Raw genomic sequence first — 23,865 nt, forward strand, 5'->3', positions numbered from 1 at the left:
GCAAACCTATAGTCACAGTCCCATAAAATAGATGAAGCACAGGCACGGAAATGAAACAGCTCACCACTTATATAACATTATGTTAACTAGGTACCTTCTTCCTGTCTCTGTTCCTCATCTGTGAAATGGGTATAATGATCCTCAGCCTCATAGGGTTATTGGAAAGACTAAATGAACCCATACACCCATAAAGAACCGACCTGGCACATACTAGCATTTGATTGATTTTTTTTTTCTTATTTAAAATTTCACTTCTAAAACCCCAATAGCATTTATTAGGCAATAATCAATCACTGTACTGGAGGAGGTATGCCTGGTCCATTATATTTCCAAGCATAATTAATTGTCGTATCTGTGTTACCTCAGTACTTTGCACACAATTCTGGTATTTCACTTACCATACTAGATACTAATTATTTGTTACTAGATACTAATTATTTTTTGCTATTATTTTGATTGAGTTCCTCAAGGACTGAGATCCTGACTAATTTATTCCAGCATCTAGCACAGGACGTGGAAATCTGACTTCTAAACTCAATTTAAGAGATGATTGGCTGGGCCTGGTGGCTCACGCTTGTAATCCCAGCACTTTAGGAGGCCGAGGCGGGCGGATCACCTGAGGTCGGGAGTTCAAGACCAGCCTGACAAACATGGAGAAACCTCATCTCTAGTAAAAATATAAAAATTAGGCGGGCGTGGTGGCGGGCACCTGTAATCCCAGCTACTTGGAGACAGAATTGCTTGAACCCGAGAGGCGGAGGTGGCAGTGAGCTGAGATCGTGCCACTACACTCCAGCCTGCGCAACAGAGCGAGACTCCGTCTCAAACAAACAAAAAAGTCAGATCTGTGCTAGACGCTGAAAGGAATTAATCAGACAGGATCTCAGTCTTTTAAGAACTTTCAAATACAGAGAAGAGGTGGTAACAAATCATTAGTGTATAATATTGTAAGCGAAAAATTAGAATTGTGTGCTAAGTACTGGGGTAACACAGAGATGGTAATTAATTCTTTCTGGAGAAACAGCAGTGAATGTGACAACCTGAGTGAGGGTGGAAAGCAGGAGAATTTCTAGACTCTGAATTTCAGAAGCTTCCGGAACTAAAATGATGTGGAAGTTGAGTGAGTCTCGGTGGGATATTGCTGCTGCACCTGGTCAAGGCCGTTCCTTCAGTGTTTTCAGACGCCCTGGGAACGCGGCTGCAGGGTCCGGTCTTCGGTTTGCACAGCTAGAGGCCGCGCAGCAGCAAAGGATGAGCGGAACCTTGGAAAAGGTAACGTAGATTCCACGCACGCGGGGCGCGGGGAGATGGCGGACGGTGCAGAGAGGGGAGATGGCGGAGGGTGCAGAGCGGGGAGGTGGCGGCGCGCGGACATCCGGGGATGAGACACTGGGGCGCCCAAGGTCCTTCCCAGCAGCACATGCGGCTGCCTGGCGTTGAAGGGGCTGAGCAGATTCCTTTCCACCCGGGGCGAACTCTGCCGAGCCGACCCGTGCCACGCCCACACCACATGCCACTCTCTCCACCCAGTTTCTGGAAAAGGGAGAGCTCTGCGATGGGAATCACGACACCAGGATACGGTCCCGATTAACTGTGTGACCTTGGGCAGGTCATTTTATATTTGCATTCAGTTATCAACTTCCAGAATTTTTTCTAAGAATGCAGTTTTGACTTGCTGAACTGATGAGGATGTGAAGCTACCTGGTAATAAGGAAACAGCAGTAATAAACTAGGTTTTTGTTCTTTTCTTTCTTTTTTTTTTTTTTTTTTTTTTGACGGATTTCGCTCTGTTGCCCAGGCTGGAGTGCAGTGGTGCGATCCCGGCTCACCACAACCTTCGCCTTCCGGGTTCAAGCGATTCTCCTGCCTCAGCCTCCTCAGTAGCTGGGACTACAGGCGCGGGACACCATGCCGGGCTAATTTTTGTATTTTTAGTAGAGACGGGGTTTCACTGTGTTGGCCAGGCTGGTCTCGAATTCCTGACCACGTGATCTGCCCGCCTCGGCCTCCCAAAGTGCCGGGATTACAGGCATGAGCCACCGCGCCCTGCAATAATTAACAACATTTTCGTTTCCAAAACCTTATTTAAGTGACTGTCATAAAACCGTATGAACCACTATAAATGTGTTCCTGGGCTTTCTCCCGTTCCCTTAACAGATTTAACAGATTTCATTTGTGCTCTTTCAATTGTATCATGCTGCTTAGATTAATGACTCATTTTAGCAATTTATATTAAAATTTTGTTTTAGGCATTAATTGTGGCAACTATATTTCCATGATTCATAGGTCAGCATGGTCGTTGCAGCTCATGGGTCTACCTGTGGTTACCTTGGGGCTGCCCTTGAATGTGTGAGGGCCCACGCCTCACTTCATCCTTTATGAAACAATTCACTTGTTCACCTTAGCCAGTTTGTAAGAATTTGGCCAAATATGGTGCCAAGATAATAGAAAAAAAAATCAGAAAGTTTCAAAATTCCATTGTTAAAGATGGTCACACTGGTGACTACACTCCTTGATTTGCCTTGGTTCCAAGAAGGGCTAAAAGGGAGGGATTATTTTTCAAGGAATACTATTTCCAACCATTCGGTTCTCCATGTTTCACCATATTGCTCAGGCTGGTCTGGAACTCCTGGAAAAGAGCCCATGGAAATCTGTCATTAAGGCCAGCATCTGACATGGGTATATAAGGCCTCTCGACGTCTGATGCCACTGTTCTCTTCCCGACTCCTTAGTTGCTTTAGTCAGCTAACCTCGTCATTATTTGCCAAATGTAAGTCTGTCTCAAAGTGTTAGTTAATACTTTACATTTATAAGGAAGGTCATGGGATTTGTCAGACAGTTCTGTCTCTTGTTATGACCTTGGGCAAGTTATTTAACTTTACTGCTTCTGTTTCCTATCTGTAAAATGCAGATGATGCCCACCACATGGAATTGTAGAGACTATAGGGAATAATGTAAACAGGAATATTTTGTAAGGAATGAAGGATGATGCAAATAATAATATTGATATTGTTCTATAGTTAATAAATTTTCATTTACACAATTTCATTTGATCTTCACAATATCACGAGATAATCCTGGCAGATGCAACAGATGAGGAAATGGAAGCCTCATGTCTGGTATATAATAGAGACTTTAATGTCATACTGATGGCTTGAATGAATGACTGGAACCTAGGCTTTGTTTTTGTTTAGAGACAGGGTCTCACTTTGTCACCCAGGCTAGAGTGCAATGGTGCAGTCATAGTTTACTAAATCCTTGAACTCCTGGGTTCAAGTGATTCTTTTCACTCAGCCTCATGAGCAGCGGGGATTACAGGTGTACACCACCATGCTCAGCTAATTTTTTTTTTTTTTTTTTTTTTTTTGAGACAGAGTCTCCCTCTGTCGCCCAGGCTGGAGTGCAGTGGCGCGATCTCGGCTCACTGCAAGCTCCACCTCCCGGGTTCATGCCATTCTCCTGCCTCAGCCTCCTGAGTAGCTGGGACTACAGGTGCCCACCACCATGCCCGGCTAATTTTTTGTATTTTTAATAGAGACGGGGTTTCACCATGTTAGCCAGGATGGTCTCTATCTCCTGACCTCGTGATCCGGATCCGCCCACCTCAGCCTCCCAAAGTGTTGGGATTACAGGTGTGAGCCACCGCACCCGGCCTTTTTTTTTTTTTTTTTTTTTTTTTTTTGAGACAGCGTTTCGCTTTGTCACCCAGGCTGGAGTGCAGTGGCCCGACCTCAGCTCACTGCAAGCTCCGCCTCCCGGGTTCACGCCATTCTTCTGCCTCAGCCTCTGGAGTAGCTGGGGCTACGGGTGCCCGCCACCACACCTGGCTAATTTTTTGTATTTTTAGTAGAGACGGGGTTTCACCGTGTTAGCTAGGATGGTCTCGATCTCCTGACCTCGTGATCTGCCCACCTTGGCCTCCCAAAGTGCTGGGATTACAGGCTTGAGCAACCGTGCCTGGCCGCTCAGCTAATTTTTTTATTTTTAGTAGAGATGGGGTCTTGCTTTGTAGCCCAGGCTAGTCTCGAACTCCTGGCTTCAAGCAGTCCTCCCACCTTGGCCTCCCAAAGTTCTGGGATTGCAGATATGAGCCACCACTCCTGGATGAAACCTAGATTATTAGTTGTACCCCTCCTAAGATCCCACTGCCTTTTCTGTTCTTTTTTTTTTTTTTTTTTTTTTTGAGACAGGGTCTCACTTTGTTGCCCAGGCTGTAGTGCAGTAGCACAATCTTGGTTCACTGCAGCCCCGATATCCCGGGCTCAGGTGATTCTCCCACCTCAGCCTCCTGAGTTGCTGGGACTACAGGCACCTGCCACCACGCCTGGCTAATTTTTGTATTTTTTGTAGAGACAGGGTTTTGCCATTTTGCCCAGGCTGGTCTGGAACTCCTGGGCTCAAGCAATCTGCCGCCTGGGCCTCTCAAAGTGCTGGGATTACAGGCGTGTGCCACCATGCCTGGCCCGCTGCTTTTTCTTTTCTGAGTATTTTACATCTCCCTAATATGATAATATTCTTGATTTTCCTCATCTGTGAAATGCAGGATGAAAACCTTTCCTGGCTTTCCTATGTGTCAGACCTTTTCTTCTTTGTAACCCATACAGCCCATTATACTGATCTAACATAGGATAATAAATAATTTGTGCATCTGCTTTCCTCATTAGAAGTTTTGTGGGTATGCAACTATATTTTCTTTTTTTTTAAATTTTGTTTTGAGACAGGGTCTCACTCTGTCACCCAGGCAGCAGTGCAGTGGAGTGATCTCAGTTCACTGCAACCTCCGCCTCCTGGGCTCAAGCGATCCTCTCGCCTTAGCCTCCTGAGTAGCTGGGATTACAGGCACATGCCACCGTGCCTGGCTAATTTTTTGTATTTTTTTGTAGAGATGGGGTTTTACCATGTTACCCAAGCTGGTCTCAAACTCCTGGACTCAAGTGATCTGCCCGCCTCGGCCTCCCAAAGTGCTAGGATAACAGGCGTGAGCCACTGTGCCAGGTTGCAACTGTATTCTTGTCTATATGCACCCACCCTATAGTGTATCTGGCCTAAAGTAGGTACCTGGTAAATGTCGAATGAATAAGTGAACAAACAAATGTTGATATTACCTGGTAAGTACATGGTAGAGCTGGGACTAGAACTTCTAACTCTTAATTCAGTGCTCCTTCCTTGGGGCCCTAAGAAGTTTCTGGCTGCAGATAATCTCAAATTTTATTTTATTTTTGAGACACGGTCTCACTATGTTGCCCAGGCTGGTCTTTAACTTCTGAGCTCAAGTGATCCTCCCACTTCAGCCTCCTGGGTTGCTGGGATAACAGACATGCCCTTCTGTGCCTAACTTCATCTCAAATTTTAGATGAGTGAGAAGCCCAGCTTTGCTAGAATAAAACTGGATAGAGCCAGTACCTCTTTGGGTCAACAGAAGGAGTTCAGCAGGGTGGAACCAGATAAGGCATTCATGCTGATATTTATCAGATCAGTGTACTGATGATCATGATGGCAGGATGGTATCTAGGGAAGTTAGAATGCACCAAGGAAATGAGTATTGAATCACCTGCAGTTATTTTGCACAGAAAATGAATGGCTCTGGAGTGTCATGCTCAGGTCTAGATGCCACTCACTCTGAGATAACCACTATTTTCTCAGGGAATACCTTACCCCTGAACCACAAGGGTATGGTTAGGGGAGACTCTGTGATCACTAATGGTGTGCCAAGTTATGTCTAATATGTCAGCCCAGAAGGAACATCCTTGGGAACTGATCTCAGAGATAAGATGTTTTCACATTTCAGCATTTGAAGGCTAAAGTGGAACAGAGTTCATATGAACAAAATGTCCTCCAAATACATTCAATAGACAGAATTAGGAGGACATTAAAAGACATGAACTAGTAGTACACACATTTTAGAGTACCTAGAAGGGCAGGAAGTCCAAAAGCTCAGAATAATCAAGAAGTTGGCTATTTCCTGGTCACCACTAGACCACAGGCCCTGGAGGAGCTTTTCTATTTTGTTAATGGTTTTATCTTCAGCACCTGTCACACCCTAAGGTACATATTGTTTCACAAATGAGGAACCAAACAATTACCACCACCATTATCATCATTGTTACCAGTTTGACCATTAATAATGCAACTTGTACTTGTTAGCCCTTTTCATGTGTTATCTAATTTAATCATGTCAACAAGTCTATGAAGTAAATATTTTTATAAACTCTTCAGAGATAAGGAAATGAGGTTTAGAGGGATTTACTAATTTGATCAGCAGATATTTATTGGGCACTTGCTGTGTGCCAGAGTGTATGCTAGATGCTGGGATGTAGCAGGTTCCTGTCTTCATGGTGCTTATGTATTTATTTATTTATTTTGAGATGGAGTTTTGCTCTTGTTGCCCAGGCTGGAGTGCAATGGTGCGATCTCAGCTCACTACAACCTCTGCCTCCTGGGTTCAAGTGATTCTCCTGCCTCAGCCTTCTAAGTAGCTGGGATAACAGGCATGCACTACCATGCCCATCTAATTTTGTATTTTTAGTAGAGATGGGGTTTCTCCATGTTGGTCAGGCTGGTCTTGAACTCCCGACCTCAGGTGATCCGCCCACCTTGGCCTCCCAAAGTGCTGGGATTAATAGGCGTGAGCCACTGCACCTGGCCATGGTGCTTATTAACAGATGGACTAATTAAACTTATAACTACTTAACTGACTATGATAAATGCTGCAAATGAAAGATTCAGGGTGCTATATGACTGTGTAACAGAAGGATCCAAGCAAGTCTGAGCAGTCACAAAAGTTTTCTTGAGGACGTTGCATGACTACTAAGATTTAAAGAGTAGGTAGGATTTAGAGAAAATATATTCCAGATAAGGAGAAGAACATGTGTAAAGGTCCTGAAATGAGAACACACTTGGAGTTCCAGAGGAACTCCTAGAGGAAGTTGGGAGGGAGAGAAGCACTGGGGTGTAGATTACGGGAGAGTATGCAGAGAAATAGTATGGGAGTGAGAATTGAGGTAAGGGATTGGATTTATATTTAGGCATGGTGGCTCATGCCTATAATTCCAACACTTTGAAAAGCTGCAGTGGGTGGATTGCTTGAGCTCAGGAGTTTGAGACCAGCCTGGGCAACATGGCGAAACCTTGTTTCGTGTTTTTTTTTTTTTTTTTTTCCCTTTTTCTGGAGAACAGGGTCTCGCTATATTGCCCAGGCAGGTCTCGAACTCCTGGGCTCAAGCTATCCTCCCACCTCTTGCCTCCCTGAGAGCTGGGATTACAGACGTGAGCCACCACGCCCGGCCTGAAACCTTGTTTTGACAAAAAATACAAAAATTAGCCAGGTGTGGTGGCATGTTCCTTTAGTCCCAGCTACTCGGGAGGCTGAGGTGGGAGGATCAGTTGAGCCCGGGAGGCCAAGGCTGCAGCGAGCTCTGTGATCACCCTACAGCACTCCAGCCTGGGTAACAGAGTGAGACCCTGTATCTATCTATCTATCTATCTATCTATCTATCTATCTATCTATCTAAACTATCTGTCTCTGAATAAATAAATAAAATTAAATAAATCAAGGCCGGGCATGGTGGCTCACGCCTGTACTCCCAGCACTTTGGGAGGCTGAGGCAGCGGGATCTCCTGAGGTTGGGAATTTGAGACCAGCCTGACCAACATGGAGAAACCTCATCTCTACTAAAAATACAAAATTAGCTGGGCGTGGTGGCGCATGTGTGTAATCCCAGCTACTCGGGAGGTTGAGGCAGGAGAATCACTTGAATGTGGGAGGAGGAAGTTGCAGTGAGCCGAGATCGTGTTATTGCACTCCAGCCTGGGCAACAAGAGTGAAACTCCATCTCTGGAAAAAAAAAAAAAATTTAAATCAGGTCAGACAAACAAACAAACATTTTAGATGGTGACCACAAGATTGTAAAATTGGGTTAAGTTGTTCAAGAGAATCTAGTTAGGGAATTGAGTTTAATGGAGCTCAGCTCTGGCTTAGAAGTATCATCCAGCACTTGTGTTATGAGGGCAAGTATTTACTTCTTTTCTTTTTTTTTTTTTTTGAGTTGGAGTCTTGCTCTGTTGCCCAGGCTGGAGTGCAGTGGCATGATCTCGGCTCACCACAACCTCCGCCTCCCGGGTTCAAGCGATTCTCCTGCCTCGACCTCCTGAGTAGCTGGGATAACAGGCATGCACCACCATGCCCAGCTAATTTTTTTTTTTTTTTTGGAGATGGAGTCTTGCTCCGTCGCCCAGGCTGGAGTGCAATAGTGTGACCTCAGCTCACTGAAACCTCCGCCTTCTGGGTTCAAGCAATTCTCCTGCCTCAGCCTCCCAAAGTAGCTGGGACTACAGGCACCCACCACCACACCCAGCTAATTTTTTTGTATTTTTTTAGTAGAGACGGGGTCTCACCGTGTTGCCCAGGCTGGTTTTGAACTCCTGAGCTCAGCCAGTCCGCCCGCCTCGGCTTTCCAAAGTGCTAGGATTACAGGTGTGAGCCACTGCACCTGGCCTCATGCCCGGCTAATTTTTGTATTTTTAGTAGAGACAGGGTTTCACCATGTTGGCTAGGCTGGTCTCGAACACCTGGCCTTAGGTGATCCACCTGCCTCCGCCTCCCAAAGTGCTGGGATTACAGGCGTGAGCCTGGACTTCATCTCTGATGAAGTCTGACTTCACCTGGACTTCATCTCTGAATTTTTTTTTTTTAAAGTATAACAGCAGGATCCAAGCAAGTCTGAGCAGTCATAAAAGTTTTCTTGTGACTCTTTTTTAATAATTAAAAAATATAATTCATTTATTATAATATTCACTCTTTTTTTTTTTGAGACCGAGTCTCTGTCACCCAGGCTGGAGTACAGTGGCGCGATCTCCGCTCACTGCAAGCCCCGCCTCCCGGGTTCACACCATTCTCTTGCCTCAGCCTCCCCAGTAGCTGGGACTGCAGGCACCCGCCACCACGCCCAGCTAATTTTTTTTTTTTTTAGTAGAGATGGGGTTTCACTGTGTTAGCCAGGATGGTCTCGATCTCCTGACCTCGTGATCCACCCGCCTCAGCCTCCCAAAGTGCTGGGATTACAGGCTTGAGCCACTGCACCCGGCTTATTCACTTTTAAAGTAGATAATTTAATGGTTTTTAGTATATTCACAAAGTTGTACAACTGTTACCACTATTTAATTCCTGAACATTTTTACCATCCCAAAAGGAAACTCCTTACCCATAAGTAGTCACTCCCCATACTGTCATCTCCCAGCCCTTAGCACCCACTAATCATCTTTCCGTCCTATGATTTGTCTATTCTAGTCATTTCATATAAATGAAATCGTGGGCCATCTGGATTGGCCGCTGCCATCACTCTGGCTGCAGCAGGGAGGCGTGGCCAGAGCCAGTCAGAGCCAGGGACAAGTGGGAGCCCTGCCCCTTCCGAGTTGGGGCGGTGCCCAAGTCATGGCTGTGGATCTAGGCCTCTTGCTCCACGGAGCAAGCAGGAGCTCCGCTCTTCCGAGTGCAGTTACGGCCGCCCAAACTGTGACTGCGGACCCAGGCATCTGTGTACTCTTGTGGGGCCCAGGAAGGCTGCCCCAGCCCTCGCAGGCTCAGAGGTGTCTGCTCCTGCTGCCTGGCTTCTCCCTGCTGTCGACACCAGCTCTGATCTTGGAGCAAAGCTGGGGCCAAGCCCAGGTACTGTCGCAGCCTGGCCAGGTGTACACACATTCGGGGCAGTGCTGACACGCCAGCCTCTTGCCTCCTTGGCCCCCTCTGGACTTTGGGCACCAACAGGCATAGGAGGGAAGCCAAAGCGGGGCTGAAGGCAGCTCAGCAGTGGCCTGCCCGTGCCCCTTGGCACCTACAGGGCACTATGAATGGCAGTGAGAGGCAGACAGCTTCCTGGGCAGAAGGGGGCAGGTTCCCATTGAGACCCCACCTTCAGGCCAGGGAGTGCCTGAAGTCTGGGGCTAGGCTGCCAGTCCCGTGGACAGGAGTGGGAACTTAACGGTACCTTTTCCAGGCCTGCCCATGGCCACCCATGGACAAATCAACATGTACTTCCTTCCCTCTGAGGCTCATAAAAACTTTGGGTCTGGGTGTAGTGGCTCATGCCTGTAATCCCAGCACTTTGGGAGGCTAAGGCAGGCAGATCACCTGAGGTCAGGAGTTTGAGACCAACCTGGCCAACATGGTGAGACCCCATCTGTACTAAAAATACAAAAAAATTAGCCGAGCGTGGTGGTGGGCGCCTGTAATCCCAGCTACTTAGGAGGTCGAGGCAGGAGAATCCCTTGAACCCAGGAGACAGAGGTTGCAGTGAGATCACGCCATTGCACTCCAGCCTGGGTGAAAAGAGTGAGACTGTCTCAAAAAAAAGCAAACAAACCAACCTTGGGCTCAGCCAGAGCTGAACAGACATCGGGACAACCGGCTGCAGAGAGGAGCTATCCACTCTAGAGACTTCTCTGCTGAGAGCTGGGAAGACATTCAGACGACCTGCCTGCAGAGAGGAGCTGCCCACTCCAAGGTCCTCCTCTGAGCTATTCTGCCACTCAATAAAGCTCTTCTTTGTCTTGCTCACCCTCCGCTTGTCTGCATACTCCATTTGTTCTGGTTGCAGGACAAGAACTTGGGACCTGTTTAATGGCAGGGCTAAAAGAGCTGCAACAGAAACAGGGCTGAGATGTGCCCCTTTTTCACCAGGTTGTGGGTGAAGAGAAGGAAAGAAGAGCTGCAGCCCTTCAGGGAGCCCAGACCTGGGAGCTCCCTGAGCCAGGGCTGTGACTCCCTCCTTGGAGCCCTGTGGTTGCTGGCATCTCCAAGCTTCTGAGCGCCACGTGTTCCCCAGTGCCAGCTGTGAAAGCTGCTTGTGGTGCACCTGGTCCGGCCTCGCAGAGAGCCAGTGCCTGTGCCAGCACCTGCAGCTGCCCGCCCTGCTGCAGCAGCCGGCATGTCTGACTGTGCACATTGGCCAGACCCCATGCTCACTCACATACCCCTCACTGGCCTATGCCTGACTTGCCCTTGGCAGGCGTGGGACCCAGGCTGGTAGTGTGAGCGGAGGACAGCCTGCCAAGACAAGTGGGTGAAACAAGCCCAGTGGACCAGAGCAAAATTCGGGCAAAGATGCCACCAGCCACAGACTTTTCCGGCCAGAAAAATGACACTCCAAAAATCCCGTAACAATATGTGAGGCCAGCTGACTTTCCAAGGACTGTACAGCTAGTAAAATGGAAGTGCTGATATTCAAACACAAATTTGTGTTTGGGTTTGGATATAAAACTTGTGCTCCTAACAGCCATAAGGACCCAATCCAAAGGCAGACTTTGATAATCAACATAAATATGTTTAGAAGGTTATGGCTAAAGGAAAGACTGGAAACAAAAACAATTTTTTTTTTCTTTTTTGAGACAGAGTCTCGCTCTGTCGCCCTGGAGGGCAGTGGCATAATCTCGGCTCACTGCAACCTCCACCTCCTGGGTTCAAGTGATTCTCCTGCCTCAGTCTCCCGAGTACCTGGGATTACAGGCGCCCACCACTGTGCCTGGCTAATTTTTGTATTTTTACAAAATACAAAATACAGCCTTTTACAAAATACAGCCTGTTGGCCAGGCTGGTTTCAAACTCCTGACCTCAGGTGATCTGCTCGCCTCAGCCTCCCAAAGTGCTGGGATTACACATGTGAGCCACCTCGCCCGGCCAACAAAAACAATTTTTAAAAGAACTTGAGAAAACCTGGAGGCAATGATTATTGCCTTCAAATACATGAAGGGTTTGACTTCTTGTATGAAAAACAAGAACTGAACTTACTTTGTATGATGTCAGAGTGGGGAACTAGGCACAAACCGTAGAAGTTACAGGGAGATGGGTTTGGGCTTTCTATGTGGGAGAACATTCAGATAGTTAGCAGTGTCTGAAAATGTTTCAGTTTTGACCAGGGAGGTATTTAAGTAACAGATGGATCATTATAGACAGAGAGGCTAGTATTGGTTGCGTACGTGGGAAAGGTAATGGTGAGGCTGGATGTGGTGGCTCACACCTGTAATCCCAGCACTTTGGGAGGCTGAGGTGGGCGGATCACGAGGTCAGGAGTTGGAGACCAGCCTGGCCAACATAGTGAAATCACGTCTCTACTAAAAATACAAAAAATTATCCGGGTTTGGTGACAGGCACCTGTAATCCCAGCTACTCAGGAAGCTGAGGCCGGAGAATCGCTTGAACCTGAGAGGCGGAGGTTGTAGTGAGCTGAGATCGCACCATTGCACTCTAGCCCTAGCAACAGTGCAAGACTCCCTCTCAAGCAAAAAAAAAAAAAAGAAAGAAAAGAAAGGAAGGTAGTGGTGGGCACTGAGAGTGGAAAGCCAGTAAGGAGAATTTGAAGCTTCTGATAAATGAACTTAGGCAGGGACTGGGCTTTTCCAGGATGCCTAAGATGAGAGTAAACTCCTTGTAAGCTTTGGAATGTAGAGCCTGGGCAACATGGCAAAACCCCATCTCTACAAAGAAAAAATTAGCCGAGTGTAGTGGCACACATCTGTAGTCCCAGCTACTTGGGAGGATGAGGCAGGAGAATGGCTTAAGTCTAGGGGGTCGAGGTTGCAGTGAGCCATGGTGATGCCACTTTACCCCAGCCTGGGTGACAGAGCAAGACCTTGTCTCAAAAACAAAAGAATTGGAATATAGATCAAGGTGTTGTTCATCTTGGAATAAAATAAGAGCTGTCATGTAATAGCCGACTTGCTTTGCAACAGGAGTATAGGATATAGTATATAGTAGTAGAGAGAGCTCTGATTGTGGGGTCAGCTAGAACATGACTTATTAGTTGTGTGCATTAGGCATGTTAATTCGCTTTTCTGAGCTTTGATTTCCTCACTATAAAATGCGGTAGAAATATCTACTTCACAGGCATGGAACATAGGCACTGGAGACTTGGAAGGGTGGGAAGGCAGGAGGGGGATGAGGGATGAGAAATTACTTAATGGGTACAATGTTCATCATTTGAGTAATGGTTACGCTAAAAACCCAGATTTCACCAATAAGCAATGTATCCATTTAACAAAATGGCACTTGTACTCCCTAAATCTATATAAAAGAAAATACAAAGAACTATGCCTCACAGAATGGTTGTGAGGATTAAAGGAGATGGTGTTTGGCATATAGCAGGTGCTCAGTAAATGGTAGGATTTTTGAATGGCTATTATCATTAGCTATGAACTTCATTAGTATAAATTGGTATCAGTTTTTTGAGAGGTAGTGTGGAAGAATAGAAGGGATGGACTTTGGATTCAGGCAGACCTGGGTTTGAATTTCTCTTACCAAACCTATAACTTTGGGCAATTTACATAAACTTTTTTTTCCTGTGTAAAATAGAGCCAGTTATCTCAATAATGCCCCATCAGAGAGGGTTGCTGTAACAATTAATTGAAATAATATGGGCCAGGCCTGGTGGCTCACTCCTGTAATCCCAGCATTTTGGGAGGCCAAGGCAGGAAGATTGCTTGAGGCCAGGAGTTCGAGACAGCATGGGCAATATAGTAAGATCCGGTCTCTTAAAAAAAAAAAATTAAAAAGACAAATAGTATGCGTAAAGTGCCTAGTAAATAGGACTCAATAAATGGTAGTAACAATGCTATTTTAAATAATATTTATTAATACACAAATATATTCTGTTACTTTCATGAAACAGCTCTCAGTTGCTTGCATCAAAGACCCCTGACCCACTGCTCTCACCACCCACTCCAGACTCTGATGTCTTAAGCTACTCACATGCTCTAGATTTTGCCCTGTGACTTCAGTTTTTTGGTAGTTGTGCAGTCCTTGCTTGGTTCCTGGCTCATGGGAGTATTTTTGTTACCCAGTGCAGCATCTGTGTCCTCATTCATTCATTCGCTGGCGTCACCATCCTCCTCTTCCACTTGCAGGGCCAGAGCTGCTCTTCATTTGCTGATGGGGAGGAGAGGGTAATTGTAGATACAGTCCCAAAATAGATTACTTTTGTCTGGATAAATAATGCCAAGCATTGCAGGGGAGAGGAAGCACATTTCCCAGAGCTGACCGGGAGAGTTCATACCATAATTTGAATGTCTTCCAGAAAGTTGTCAACTCTTTTTTCTTTTTCTTTTTTTTTTTTTTTTTTGAGATGGAGTTTCGCTCTTGTTGCCCAGGCTGGAGTGCAATGGCGTGATCTCGGCTCACAGCAACCTCCGCCTCCCGGGTTCAAGCCATTCTCCTGCCTCAGCCTCTGGAGTAGCTGGGATTACAGGCATGCGCCACCACGCCCGGCTAATTTTGTATTTTTAGTAGAGACGAGGTTTCTCCATGTTGGTCAGGCTGGTCTCAAACTCCGGACCTCAGGTGATCCGCCCACCTCGGCCTCCCAAAGTGCTGGGATTACAGGCGTGAGCCACTGGGCCTGGCCGAAAGTTGTCAATTCTTAAGCCTGGCTTTTAGATAATTAAAACCTTGGTTATTGTACAGACTCAGAAATCTGAACAATTAAAATGAGAAAGCAGTCTCATTTTGATCTTTTTTTCCCATCCAGTCCCTCTTCTATATGAAGTGACCCATTTAAAAATATATTCTGTTCACTCTCATTTCTATTGTTTGTCATGGTTAATAGATCCCGGCCCTGGAGAGACTTTAGAGTCCTCTGATCTAACTTCAAAGTACATAGCTAGTGGTTGGGGGAGCTGGCCTGACCTCTCCTGGGGCCCCAGTTTCCTACTCTGTCTTTTATGCTGACCAATATTAGGTTAAGTGTATTGCACACATACTTTACAAAGTCTTTTAGTACCTGATTCAATTGTGCTTCTGGGATCATCTGCACATTTTGCCCTTCTGTCTATTCACATCCTTCCCAATCTTCATGGTTTTACATCCTCTGGGAGACTTTTCTTAAGTTTTATCTTTCCGCCTCCTAATTTCCTAAGCACTAACATCTTCATTTATGTGAGAAAAGGTGTAGAATAGTGGGGAAATTATGGATTTTGGTGTCAGAGAAACCCAAGACCCTAGGCTAGCTTCAATAGTAGTTGTGTGACTTTGGGTAGGTTACTTAATCTGTTTCCTCAACTGTAAAGTGGTGATAATAATGCTTATCTTGTAAAGGTATTATGATTTAGACACATGGTAGGTGCTCAACAAAGTAGATGTCGGTGCTTAATATATGGTAGCAATGATTATCATTTATTCACTTCTTTCTAATCATTTATTCATCAGAACAAACCTTGATTGTCTACAATGTGCCTGAGAGGAAAGTGACATGACCCTTGCTCTGAGGATCTCTTGGTTTAGCATAGGGGTTCTTGGGTGATGATAAGAGTTTTGGTGAATCTCCTGAAGTAGTAGGCAAACTCTTTATATATCCTTGCTTATATGCATTTGTCTAGGAAGAGGGTTCATGACTGAGCAGATCCTCAGCAACGTCTGTAACTCTGCAAAAGCTAAGGATTTCTCTTAGCCATCTCCCCCTGGATTTCCTGCCAGGTGTGCTTGTTGTTCGCACCACCTATTTTGACTTCATACAATGCCTGCAATATTGCTTAGCTGTTTAATACAAATGTATGTCTGTGTCTCCAGCCATCCAGATGCCTGAAGGACAGAGATTGTGCATACATTTTTTGATAGCTTTATTGAAATATAGTTCACATAACCTACAATTCACCTATTTAAAGTGTGGAATTCAGTAGCTTTTATTATATTCACAGAATTGTACAACCATTACTACAGTTTGAGAACATCATCCCAAAAAAAAACTCCATACCCCTTAGCAGTCATCCACAGCTCCCCAGCCCTTCCAGCCCCAGGCAGCCACTAATTGACTTCCTTTCTCCATAGATTTCACTATTCTGGATATTTCACAGAAATAGAATCATGTAATATTTGGTCCTTTGTGACTGGTTTCTTTTATTTAGTATAATGTTTTCAAGATTCATCCCTGTAGTTACATTTTGTTTTTATATTCTCTTTAACATTCAGCACAGCAGTTGGCATATAAGCTTTTTTTTTTCTTTTTTTTTTAACTTGAGACAGGGTCTCATTCTGTCACCCCAGGCCAGAGTGCAATGGCACAGTCACGGCTTATTGCAGCCTCAGCCCTCTGGGTCCAAGTGATCCTCCTACCTCAGCCTCCTGAGTAGCTGGGATCACAGGTGTGCACCACCACGCCTGGCTAATTTTTTGTTTTGTAGAGAAAGGGTCTTCCTATGTTGGCCAGGCTGGTCTCAAAATCCTAGGCTCAAGTGATCTTCCTACTTTGGCCTCCCAAAATGCTTGGATTGTAGGCATTAGCCACTACACCTGGCTTATAATAGACTTTTTAAAAATAAGCTTTATTTTAGAATAGTTTTAGATTTACAGAAAACTTGCAAAGACAGTACACAGAGTTCCCATATATCCCAAGTTCCCCTATTACTATTATCTTTACATTAGTGTGATTTATTTATTTATTTTTTGAGACAGAGTCTTGCTCTGTTGCCCAGACTGGAGTGCAATGGTATGATCTCTGCTCACTGCAACCCCTGCCTCCCAGGTTCAAGCGATTCTCCTGCCTCAGCCTCCTCCCAAGTAGCTGGGACTACAGGCACGCACCACCACCCCTGGCTAATTTTTGTATTTTTGGGAGAGACGGGGTTTCACCATGTTGGCCAGGCTGGTCTTGAACTCCTGGCCTCAAGTGATCTGCCTGCCTCAGCCTCCTCAAGTATTGGGATTACAGGCGTGAGCCCCCACACCTGGCCTAGAGTGATTTTTTTTTTTATAATTAATGAGCCAATATTGGTATATTAGCTAGTGTCCATACTTTATTCAGATTTCCTTACTTTTTCTCTAGTGTCCTTTTTCTGTTGCAGATCCCATTCAGGATATTATATTTTATTTAATCGTCGTCTTTTCCGTAGGCTCCTCTTGACTGATAGTTTCTCAGATTTTCCTTGTTTTTGCATACTAGACTTTTCATACATCCATGTTGAAAGAATTAAAATTGTTATCCATAGTGGGCAGGATTTTCTCTTTATGTTATGGGACCTTAAGAACAGACTTTTTTTTTGTTTCTTTCCCGTAAAACAAACAAACAAACAAAAGAACAGACGTTTGTTTGGAAGACTGAAGCAAGGGAATTGCTTGAGTCCAGGAGATTGAGGCTGCAGTTGCTATCATTATATTTGTTTTTTTGTTCTTACCTCCATTGTGAAGTATCATTATCACTGTCATTTTTTAATTTTATTTTTATATTTTAATTTTTTTTTGAGACAGAGTCTTGCTCTGTTGCCCAGGCTAGACTGCAGTGGCGAGATCTCGGCTCACTGCAACCTCCGCCTCCTGGGTTCAAGGGATTCTCCTGCCTCAGCCTCCTGAGTAGCTGGGATTACATATGCCCGCCACCATGCCTGGTTAATTTTTGTATTTTTAGTAGAGACGTGGTTTCACAATCTTGGCCGGGCTGGTCTTGAACTCCTGACCTCGTGATCCACCTACCTTGGCCTCCCAAAGTGCTGGGATTATAGGCATGAGCCACCGTGCCCAGCCTATCACTGTTATTGAGAGAGACAGTGTACTATAATAGAGGCATAGCTTTTGTAGTAAGTCAGTCCTCTTTTTTTTTTGAGACGGAATCTCATTTTATGGCCCAGGCTGGAGTGCAGTGGCGCAATCTCTGCTCACTGCAACCTCCGCCTCCTGGGTTCAAGTGATTCTTCTGTCTCAGACTCCTGAGTAGCTGGGAGTACAGGCATGCACCACCATGCCCGGCTAATTTTTGTAATTTTAGTAGAGACAATACCATGTTGGTCAGGTTGGTCTTGAACTCCTGACCTCGTGATCTGCCCGCCTCAGCCTCCCAAAGTGCTGGGATTACAGGCATGAGCCACCGCACCTGGCCATTAAGTCAGTCCTCTTAGCAGCTTATTAGGTATAATTTTTTGGAATATAACCTCTCTGGGTCTCAGTTGCTTTACTTACGAAATTGTCTTGCAGTGTTTTCAGAATTAAAGAAGATTTAATAAAGCCCCTCTCATGATGCTGTGCATGGCAGATGCATACTAATTATTGATTGATATTAGAAAAAAATAGATTAAGTTGGAAATGGTAAACAGTGAAAAAGCAGTGTGGGAGGGGGACTTCTGTTTTTTGAGCATTTACTGTAGTGGGTGGAATGAGAATGATGACCTTGGTTTGTTTGCATGCTTGGTGTTAATTGTAGGGTAGCTTCTTTGTTAGATAAGAGCCTTTTTGTCCTTTTCTGGTTTGTGTACTGTGGGTTTCTTGCCTCTCTGAGAAGACATACTTGGAGGTCTATAAATGCTTAAGATTGTCCTAACATGGCTGTTTTGCTGTAGGTGCTGTGCCTGAGGAACAATACCATTTTTAAGCAAGCCTTTTCTCTCTTAAGGTAAGAATATTAAAAACAATAATTAAATATAGGTAACATTTGCCTTTGGCTTCATAGTTCACACAGCATTTTTTCATCATATTTACTTGCATGTCTATAAGCACATCATGCATCTCCCCTGCCACCTTGCTCCTTCCCCATTCTCAGTTAATAGCATCTCCATTCATCTAGTTGCTGAGGCCAAAATACTTGCAGTTAATCTTTGATGCTGTTCTTTTTTTTTTTTTTTCTTTTTGAGATGGAGTTTCACTCTGTCACCCAGGCTGGAGTGCAGTGGCGTGATCTTGGCTCACTGCAACCTCTACCTCCCAGGTTCAAATGATTCTCCCACCTCAGCCTCCCAAGTAGCTGGCATTACATGCACCTGCCACCATGCCCAGCTAATTTTTGTATTTTTGTAGAGATGGGGTTTCACCATGTTGGCCAGGCTGGTCTTGAACTCCAGACCTCAGGTGATCTGCCTGCCTCGGCCTCCCAAATTGCTGGAATTACAGGTGTGGGCCCCCGCGTCCAGCCAGATGCTGTTAATTCTTCAACAAAACTTGTTGGCTTTACTTTTGAAATATAAACAGAACCTTTTTTTTTTTTTTTTTAATTGAGGCAGAGTCTACCTCTGTTGCCCAGGCTGGAGTGCAGTGGCATGATCACAGCTCACTGTAGCCTTGACCTCCCATGCTCAAGTGGTTCTTCTACCTCAGCCTCCCAAGTAGCTGGGACTACAGGCATGTACTAGCATGCCCCATTCGTTTTTGTATTTTTTGTGGAGACAGGGTTTTGCCATGTTGCCCAGGCTGGTCTTGAACTCCTGGGCTCAAGTGATCTGCCCAAAGTGAGGGGATTACAGGCATGAGCCACTGTGCCAGACCTAGAACCATTTCTTTCTCCAGTTTTTGCCTCATGCTTTCTGTTATGCTAAACCACTAGGGGCCAGCTCCTTATTTTCTCATTGCCTTTACTACCATCACTTTGCCTCCCAACTGGTCTCCCTAGTTTACCTTTGTCTTCTGTTCTTCACAGTAAAGCAGAGTGATTTTTTTTTTTAAAGAGACCTAACATTATGAACATAAGAATGATTCTTTTAAAGCCAAGTTAGCTCACATCACTCCTTTGCTCCAAATTCTCCAGTGGTATCCCATCTTACTCAAACTAAAACCTGCAATCTTTACCATGGCCTATAGGACCTTCCATAATCTGTATCCTCATTTTATACTACTTACTCAGCATTAGCTGTGCTGTGGTTTGCTATTCCTTGATAATCTAAGCACCTTCCCACCCCAGGATCTGTGCATATTCTTTCCTCAGATATCCATATGGTTTGTCCTATACTTTTTTCAGGTTTCTGTCCAAATGTCATCCCATCCAAGAGGCCTTCCCTGACTACTCTATGTAAAATATACACCCCTCCATCAATCTCTGTTCCTTTATACTTTGCTTTTTCTTTATAGCAGATGTCACCATCTGACTCATTTTTTATATATAAAAATGTTTAACTGTCTTTCCTTGCCCCTTAAAAATAAGCATCATGGGGATACTGCCCTATTCCTAGGCCTACGATGGTATCTGACACATAGTAGGCATTTAATAAATATTTGTTAAATGAATGAATTGACCTTCATAGTGACCTGGTAAAACAGATGATATTATCTCAATTTTATATAAATAACTGGGGTCCAGAGAGTTTAATCTGTTGTTTTAATATGATGGAGCTAATTTGGGTTGGAATTAGGATTCAAATCCAAGTTGTCTTTTTTTTTTTAAACTGTTCTGTGTATAGATTGCTCTCCATTGTTTTTCTTTTTTCTTTATTTTTTTGAGACAGAATCTCTTTCACCCAGGCTGGAGTGCAGTGGCACTATCTCAGTTCACTGCAACCTCTACCATCCAGGTTCAAGCAATCCTCCTGCCTCAGCCTCCTGAGTAGCTGGGGTTACAGGCGCCCACCACCATGTCTGGCTAATTTTTCTATTTTTAGTAGAGATGGGGTTTCACCATGTTGACCTGGCTAGTTTCGAACTCCTGACCTCAAGTGATCCATGCTCCTCAGCCTCCCAAAGTGCTGGTATTACAGGCATGAGCCACCGTGCCCAGGCTCCCCATTGTTTTTCTCTAAGTGTGATGAAATACATTTGGTGGTTTATTTCTCTGTTCAGCAGCAAATATGCACCAAGTGTCTTTTGTGTGACAGCCACAGGATATAAAATAATGTATTGTACATCTTCCCGAACTACTCGGCACTCATGATCCTGGATGATTTCTTGAGTCCTTAACATTTATTGAGGGCTTTCTCCCTTTATTTCCCTTCCATCTTCTTTTTTTTTTTCTTAATCCCAAATGTGATAGTATCCCGTTCCATCTTAATCTATTATCCCATCTTAATCAGTCAACTACTATTTGATAAGCACCTCCTATGGCACCATACTAGCTATTTTTCGTTATCTCTAATCTTCACAAAAAACACTACAAGGCAAATATAAATATCATTTTGCAAAAGAGGAAACTGACTCAGAGTTTAAGATACATTTTCAGTCCCATTAGATTGTAGTATTATTATCTTTTTTTTTTTTTTTTTTTTTTTGAGATGGAGTTTCGCTCTTGTTGCCCAGGCTGGAGTGCAGTGGCACGATCTTGGCTTACTGCAACCTCCGCCTCCCAAGTTCAGGTGATTCTCCTGCCTCAGCCTCCCGATTAGCTGGGATTACAGGTGCCCACCACCAAACCCGGGTAATTTTTTGTATTTTTAGTAGAGACGGGGTTTCGCCATATTGGGCAGGCTAGTCTCGAACTCTTGACCTCAGGTCATCTGCCTGCCTCGGCCTCCCAAAGTGCTGGGATTACAGGCGTGAGCCGCTGCGCCCGGCCACTTCTTCGTTTTTTAAAACTCACCTCAAAATAGTTTCACCTCCCTAGTAGGAGTGACCATACTTTCCTTTGTGTCCTATTTAATTTTGTATGTTTCTGTTCTGGATCAATACTATATTGTGGCTCACATTCGTTTACCAGCACCTTTCCCAACTAGACCATGGATAGAGACATCTTACTTATATTTGCATTCTCAGGATGTGGCACTTTGGCACACATCAGGTCCTTATTAAAGTTTGTGGAAGGAAGAAAGGAAAGAAGGAGTAAGGAAACAGCATTGATGCATCTTTAGTGATAGAATATAAATTTTGCAAACTATGCAAATAAAATATGGGTTTCTAATTGTATTGAACATACTTTCTCCCTCCTTTTAGGTTTAGAACTTCAGGAGAGAAGCCCATCTATTCTGTAGGTAAGCAGTTTTTACCTGATGTAGTTGGCCTGCTTTAAGTGACCCTTTAGCACTCTATAATAATTTTGCCTAGAAGGAAGCCTACCATATCTTTGAGAACAGTGGCCTGAACCAAACCCCACCCCTCCATGTGAGCATGGAATAGAACCATGGGTGAGAACATCAAGTAGTGGCTAAGAGCAAGAGCTCTACAGTAAGTTTGGATTCCAACTGTACTACATATTTATTTGATCTTTGGCTATTTCTCTGTAGCTTGGTTTCCTCACCTTAAAAAATGAGCAGGCTGTGAGGCCGGGTGCGGTGGCTCACGCCTGTAATCCCAGCACTTTGGGAGGCCGAGGCGGGCGGATCACCTGAGGTCAGGAGTTCGAGACCAGCCTGGCCAACATGGTGAAACCCTGTCTCTACTAAAAATACAAAAAATTAGCTGGGCGTGGTGGCAGGCGCCTGTAATCCCAGCTACTCGGGAGGCCGAAGCAGGAGAATCGCTTGAGCTCGGGAGGCGGAGGTTGCAGTGAGCTGAGATTACGCCATTGCACTCCAGCCTGGGGGACAAGAGCGAGACTTCATCTCAAAAAAAAAAAAAATAATGAGAAGGCTGTGCAGCATGGTGAGACCCTGTCTCTACAAAAATTTTTTTAAAAATTAACTGGGTGTGGTGGCACAGGCTTGTGATCCTACCTACCCCAGAGGCCAAGGCAGGAGGATCTCTTGAGCCCAGGTTACAGTGAGCTATGACTGTGCCACTGCACTGCAGCCTGGGTGACAGAGCAAGATCCTGTCTCTTAAATTAAAAAAATTTAAAAAAAAGAGGATAATTGTAATACAAACTGTAGTGTACCATTTGAAGATTCAGTGAGACAAAAGATATAAAGTGCTTGGCCAGGTGCCTCACGCCTGTAATCCCAGCACTTTGGGAGGCCGAGGAGGGCGGATCATGAGGTCAGATCAAGACAATCCTGGCTAACCCAGTGAAACCCCATCTCTACTAAAAATACAAAAAATTAGCCGGGCGTGGTGGCACATGCCTGTAGTCCCAGCTACTCGGGAGGCTGAGGCAGGAGAATTGTTTGAACCCCGGAGGCAGAGGTTACAGTAAGCCGAGATCATACCACTGCACTCCAGCCTGGGCGACAGAGCGAGACTCCGTCTCAAAAAAAAAAAAAAAAAGATAAAATGCTCAAAAAGTAGCAGCTGTAATTATTATTATTATTAATACTGCTACTATTCCAGAACTGCCTTGTATGTCCATCATCAGGCTAGGGCTTTTCTCACACTGTTTAATCCAAAATGAATGTCCATTCAGTCTGATTAACTCAATGGATATCCATCTCTGTTTCAACCCAATTACTTGCCATTTTTGCTTTGTCTATTATGTGAGAAATTTCAATGGAGTTGTTGGATTTTAATGACGTTTGTCATGTGTCTGACAAGTATCAGAGATAAAGGAATGGAAGTAAGGAAGGGAACTAACATTTTTTACTCAGTGCCTACTGTGTGCAAGGAAGTGTGGAAGAGGCTTTACATATGTTAATTATTTTAGAAGATGGCGGCAATGTGTAGGGAATCACCATTTCTACTGGGCCCAAAGCCTAACATCTCAAAATAATGGGCTTCTTTTTATTTATACATTCTCTTGACAAACATGTATCTTACTAGACTGTGTGTTAGATGCTGGTGATACAAAATTAAGAGGATATAGTCCTTGCTATTTAGTAGTTTTAGAAGCTTATTTTTTCCCTAGGAATAATACAATGAACATTTCTTTACCCACTATTTAGATTCAACTTTTGTTAACATTTTGTCATGTTAGCTTCTTAAAAATCAGACATCATGATACTTTACGCTTGAATACTTTAGCTTGGGTTTTTAGAAATAAGGATATTTTCGGGCAGGTGCAGTGGCTCATGCCTGTAATCCCAGTACTTTGGCAGGCCGAGATGGGCGGATCACCTTAGGTCAGGAGTTCAAGACCAGCCTGACCAACATGGAGAAACCCCATCTCTACTAAAAATACAAAATTAGCCGGGCATGGTGGAGCATGCCTGTAATCCCAGCTACTCGGGAGGCTGAGGCAGGAGAACCGCTTGAACTTGGGAGGCGGAGGTTGCAGTGAGCCGAGATCGTGCCATTGCACTCCAGCCTGGGCAACAAGAGCGAAACTCTGACTCAAAAAAGAAAAAAGAAATAAGGATGTTTTCTTTCTTTATTTTTTTTTTTTTATTGTAATTTAAG

The 23,865-nt window shown here is 44.6% G+C and overlaps 1 protein-coding gene across 9 annotated transcripts in view, besides 3 other annotated features; it reads left to right on the forward strand.

Moving 5' to 3' along the window:
• Positions 1,088-1,147: an enhancer, noted in NCBI's record as "active region_5241". NCBI's record gives its function as "activates an Ori minimal core promoter by ATAC-STARR-seq in GM12878 lymphoblastoid cells {active_cell/tissue: GM12878}" and the evidence as "EXISTENCE:reporter gene assay evidence [ECO:0000049][PMID:35858748]".
• The window catches only part of MRPL48 (mitochondrial ribosomal protein L48), a 77,260-nt gene continuing 54,548 nt past the window's right edge, over positions 1,154-23,865 (forward strand). For 5 of the 9 annotated variants that reach the window (NR_134661.2, NM_001318499.2, NM_001318498.2 and 2 more), the window contains exons 1-3: positions 1,154-1,272; positions 18,307-18,359; positions 21,593-21,630. Coding sequence is in view for 3 of the 9 variants with exons in the window: in NM_001318499.2 (NP_001305428.1) it covers positions 1,252-1,272; positions 18,307-18,359; positions 21,593-21,630 (112 nt within the window). In the remaining 6 variants the exon portion in view is untranslated. Of the gene's footprint in view, positions 1,273-2,614; positions 2,771-15,360; positions 15,458-18,306; positions 18,360-21,592; positions 21,631-23,865 lie in introns of all 9 variants that reach the window. The other 4 variants (NR_134659.2, XM_047427121.1, NR_134660.2 and 1 more) reach the window with 4 other exon arrangements.
• Positions 1,288-1,367: an enhancer, noted in NCBI's record as "active region_5242". NCBI's record gives its function as "activates an Ori minimal core promoter by ATAC-STARR-seq in GM12878 lymphoblastoid cells {active_cell/tissue: GM12878}" and the evidence as "EXISTENCE:reporter gene assay evidence [ECO:0000049][PMID:35858748]".
• Positions 10,402-10,921: an enhancer, noted in NCBI's record as "H3K27ac-H3K4me1 hESC enhancer chr11:73508167-73508686 (GRCh37/hg19 assembly coordinates)". NCBI's record gives its function as "activates a minimal SCP1, AML or CMV promoter by ChIP-STARR-seq in primed H9 embryonic stem cells {active_cell/tissue: H9 hESC(primed)}" and the evidence as "EXISTENCE:reporter gene assay evidence [ECO:0000049][PMID:30033119]".

The sequence above is a fragment of the Homo sapiens genome, chromosome 11, assembly GCF_000001405.40.
Source record: "Homo sapiens chromosome 11, GRCh38.p14 Primary Assembly".
NCBI lineage: Eukaryota > Metazoa > Chordata > Mammalia > Primates > Hominidae > Homo > Homo sapiens.